The sequence below is a fragment of the Homo sapiens genome, chromosome 1 (assembly GCF_000001405.40).
Source record: "Homo sapiens chromosome 1, GRCh38.p14 Primary Assembly".
Lineage (NCBI taxonomy): Eukaryota > Metazoa > Chordata > Mammalia > Primates > Hominidae > Homo > Homo sapiens.
In genome coordinates, this window is record NC_000001.11 from 116,746,581 (window position 1) to 116,751,949 (window position 5,369).

Sequence of the window (5,369 nt, forward strand, 5' to 3'; positions counted from 1 at the left end):
TACTCCGAAAACAGAGTTTCTCTGCCGTAGCTTGTCCAAAATTCTATGGACTACCAAAAATCATGGTTGGACCTCCCCAACAACTCTCTGTGTGTCCAAAAACCATACATTCCTTTCACCAAATGAAGCCCCCACCAACTGCCAGCAAAACCAATGTAATCCAGTACAAATTTCCATTACTATCACAACTTCCCAAAATTCCTCCCCTTCATTAAGTCATTTCTATGGTATAGGAGCAGAGGTCGCAGGGGCAGACTCTATAGGATTTTTTGAAATGCGTTTCGTCACCCCCTCATCCCCTCCTCCCTCTCCTAAACCTTCTAATCAAACTACCAGTCTCTCCCTACCCAATAGCAACACCAAAGTAGCCATTGTAGAAGTTAAAGATTTAAAACAAATCCTAGCTATTGAAATGGAGTACCAAGATGCAAATGCCTGGCTAGAATTGATTAGATATTCCATTCACACACTAAACAAAAGCGATTGTTACACTTGTGCAACGGGAAGGCCAGGGACCCAAATTATCCCCTTTCCACTTGGATGATCCTCCAACCAACAGGGTATGAGCTGTATGGTAGCTCTCTTCCAAAACCCCACAGCCTGGGGCAATAAAGCATGCCGAATTTAGCGGGATGCAGTAAGCCTAAGCCTTTTCAGGAGCTAACCAATCACTCTGCCCTTGTTCATCCCAGAGCAGATGTATGGTAGTACTGCAGTGGACCACTACTAGGTACTCTGCCAAGTGACTGGATCGGCACTTGCACCCTAATTCAATTGGCCATCCCTTTTATCCTGACATTTCATCAACAAAGCAAAAAAGACAATTGCAAAAAAGAAGTACCATCCCCCCACGGGTCCTTTGACTCTCACATTTATATAGATGCCATCAGAGTTCCACAAGAGTGCCAAATGAATTTAAAACTTGAAATCAAATAGCTGCAGGATTTGAATCTATATTGTTCTCATGGGTAAATGTAAACAAAAATGTAGACTGGATAAATTACATTTACTATAATCAACAGCAGTTTGTCAATTATGCTAGGGATACCATTAAAGGAATAGCTGAACAATTAGGCCCTACCACCCAAATGGTCCGGGAAAATAGAATAGCCCTGGACATGATATTGACTGAGAAAGGTGGGGTCTGTGTCATGATTGGGGTCCAATGCTATACTTTTATCCCTAACAACACAGCCCCTGATGGAACAATTACAAAAGCCTTACAGGGCCTTACCACCCTAACAAATGAATTAGCTAAATTCTGGAATAGATGACCCCTTCTCTGGTCTCATGGGAAAATGGTTTGGAAAATGGAAGAGACTCATAACCTCAATCTTTACCCCTCTTGCAATTGTTATAGGTGTACTCACTCTTGTAGGTTGCTGCATCATACCTTGTATTTGTTGATTAGTGCAAAGGCTTATAGAAAAAGCCCTCATGAAAACCCCTCGATTCTCCCCCACCCTACTCAGATAAGTTCCTACTCCTAAATGACTAAGAGGAGCAACAAAGTCAGGATATGTTAAGGAAATGTGAAGAGGGAGAACTATAAAGTCAAGAGGGGGAAATTTGCCAAAAATAATAAGTTCCTCTTCTAAGCTTCCTTGGTCTTTCTTAATCTGTAATGAGCACTTCGTACTCTGCTTAATCTGTAACGAGCACTTGTTTCTCTGCTTAATCTGTAACTGGCAAACCTCTTACTCTTTAAACAACTCTTTTCACCTAGTTGGTAATGGACAGCCTCTCCCTTCCTGCCTAATTGGCCTTATTCAATTTCAAACACTAGCCAATTGAGTCAGCTTAGACTGTGCGGTCTGACTCCAGCCAGTGGGGAAAGGACACAGAAACAGGAACTGCATTAGGGATAAAAACCCCTGTGCTACCCCGCTTAGTGTGCTCGTACAATCAGAGGGACACAGGCAGCACCCATCTGCAGAAGTAAATGTGCCTTGCTGAGAAATTTTCTGTCTAAGTGCTGGTTTTTCCTTGTGGCACTGAGCACTTATTTCTAACAGTCCTGACTTGACCTGAGCCTTGTTAAGGCTCTCCTTTGACAAAGGGAAAGGGAGGTAGAAGTCAAGACCATCAATATTTTACTAATCAGGGAATAAGAGGTCAACCTAAAGTAAGACCTCCAAGAATATTTTCTTCCTTCTCTGCTTCTTATTCTCTTCCCTGTAGCCTACTTCCCCAGGAGTGTGAGTTTAGGTAAGAAAAAGAATCAATGAAGACAGAGCAAGAGCTAACCTGTACAGTGCAGCAAGAGTGGCAAGGGAGGAGCTGGAATGAGCAACCGAGTAGATGGTCCCCTGAAATGCAAACACTCAGAGGCAGGGACTGCACCTGCCTCAGCACTCAGAACATTTACCGAAGTGACAGGTCCACTTAGAATTAAACATAATTCAATTGAAGGACAATACGTGTTCAATTTAGATATATTAGAATAGCAACAGCAAGCAAGGAGGGCAGAATAGTAGCTATTATCCCACCACACAGGGACCAACACCCTGGGGACATTCTGCAAGAGATGCACCCAACACACGCTTTTTGAGAAATAAAATGGGACTATATTGTTGACTGTGAAGGGTACCAGAAGATGCTGATGTAGGACAGGTAAGCCCCATTGGGGCTTAGCCTGGAGTATTCTTGGCTTCACTCAGGAAAGAATCAAGGGCGAGCTGGTGGTGTTTGACAGCAACTTTTATTGAAGCAGCAGCAGAGGTACTGCTCCTTGCAGAGCAAGTATACACCACAGGCAGTGTGCCCAGAGTATCAGCTTAAAGGCAGTTCTGCAGTCCTATTTATACCCATTTTAATTATATGCAAATTAAAGGGCAGATTATGCAGAAATTTCTAGGAAAAGGGTGGTAACTTCTGGGTCGCCAGGTCATTGCCATGGAAAAAGGTGGTAGAAGTTGGTTATTGCCATGGCAACAGTAAACTGACATGGCACACTGGTGAGCATGTTTTATGGAAAGCTGCTTCCACCTATCTCTGTTTTAGCTAGTCCTCAATTTGGTCCAGTGTCCAAGCCCCACCTCCAGAGTCAAGTTCCACCTCCTACTTCAGTGCCACCCTAAAACATGCCTTTTTAACATATGGTTTTTTTTTGAGCAAAAGGCCATCATGAACCAGCAGAGGCAGTAAAAGCTTTAAAAACATGGCACAATATTTTTCTTTTGTAAAGAAAATTTACAATTTCTGAAGAAAATAGCCGTTTGTAAAAGGTATCTCCCTCTCCTGTATCAGGAAGAGGAGGACTCTTAACAACTCTTATCAATGGAGAAGGCATTGGCTTCAATCTGCATAACAAACCTTACTAAACACATCTTGTTGTTTGGCACACTTTTCCTGGTCATTGGGTAACTTGCCTCCCCAACCTAGAAGCCCCAAATCGCTTTTTCTTTGTTTAGTCTAATATACTCTATAAGTCCAAGTTCTAACATCCCTTTGGGTTACTCACCACTGGGTGCTCCCATGTTTATGAGGGATACACATCTTAATCAACTTCAATGTGCCTTTCCCTTCTTAACCTGTCTTTTCCCAGTCTGGTTTACAGGGCTCCAGCCAGAGAACCTAAGACAAGAAGAGGAAAAAGATTACTTTTCACCTCTCCTACAATTGGGACCTGTTTTTGTCATATTCCACAGCTTGTCTATATCATGATTTACTTAACCAATTTCCTTCTCTTAGACATTTAAATTGTTTCCAATTTTGTCTTTAAAATACTGCAGCATATAAATTTATAGCCAAGTCTAGTACATAGCCTTCATTATTTCCTTATGATAAAATCATCCTTGTGGATTTGTTAGAAATCCACAAATGTTTGATACTCTAATTCACACTGACAAATTGCCCACCAGAAACTATACCTACTTGCAATTCTCCTGGCCATATACAAGAATGCCCATTTACACCATCATCAACACTATGTTTTCATTTTTCAAATGAAGATGAAAAATGCATCTATGTTAAAACTGACATTTCTTTATTAATAAATAGAAATAAAATTTTTCTTTTGTGGATTGCTCCTTTTATGACTTTGACCCATTTTAGTTTTAAGGTGTCTATCTTTTCTATGTTTACAAGAAAAATTTAATACTAAAAATTTAATGTTGGCCAGGCACGGTGGCCCACACCTGTCATCCCAACACTTTGGGAGGCCAAGGTGGGAGGATCACTTGAGCCCAGGAGTTCAAGATGAGCCTGGGCAACATAGTGAGACCCCCCGTCTCTACAAAAAATAAAAAAATTAGCCAGGCATGGTGCCACATGTCTGTAGTCCCAGCTACTCAGGAGGCTGAAGCAGGAGGATCACTTGAGCTCAGGAGGTCAAGGCTGCAGTATGCTGTGGTGCTGTGGTCATACCACTGCACTCCATCTTGAGCAACAGAGCAAGACCCTGTCTCTAAAATTAAAAAAAAATTGTTATGCCTTTGTCATGTATCTTGCAAGTAATTTGCTCCTTTTAGTACGTTGTCTTTAATTTTTTTATGGCTTTTTACATAGAAAGTTTTCACATTTTACAGAGTCAAATCTACTGACCTCTTTCTTTTTCATTGTTTCTGCCCTTGAAGCCATGCTCATCACTCAGAATTGAATTAGTTTTAGAGGAGCAAAATTAATGTTTCAAATAGAGGAACAGAAAGCTGCTCTTCACATGCTCCATGAGGAAAGTGTGAGGAAGAGAGGACAAGCGCCCTCCAAAGCTGAGATGGGTCAGAGGATGGCTGGCGCCACCTTCTCTCCACCAGGCCTTGACACACTGGAGTTGGATGGCAGCTGGTGGGTCAGCCACTCACAAACAGGAAGCTCCATGCTGCTCCTCTGGGTTGGCGATACTTTTGAAAAAATACGTGTGCCCTAAGCATCCTTTCTTAAAAAGACATTTTTTATTAACAAAAAAGGTGCTTATTTCCAAAATTTTAAACTTCACAGAAATAAATAAAATGTGAAAGAAACATAAAATCCTGGGACCCCAATTCATTATGCCAAAAGGAAAAATTAAGCTGAAAGTTGAGTCACACAAGAAACTGCCTTTCCTTGAGTTCCTAAGCAGAGAGTTACAGATAAAAAGCTGCTGTCTCCACGGGTAGCTACTCTATGTTCACCTTATCTTAAGAAAGTGCCAATTTACTGAGCATGAGAAGAATACAAATTGACCATTCCCCTACCTACTTTTTTTCTCTTGCAACATATGGATTCAGTAATGTGACTGTACCCTCCCTCCTTCCCCTCTGGCCAGCTTTTCCCCTTAACTGAAGGTTTTGAAATAATCTTGAGAAAAAGGCACAAACCACAGATTTTTCCTGTGGTTCTGTGTTCCTTTTTGTCCCTAATGTTGATGAAATAAACTTCTAAATTGATTG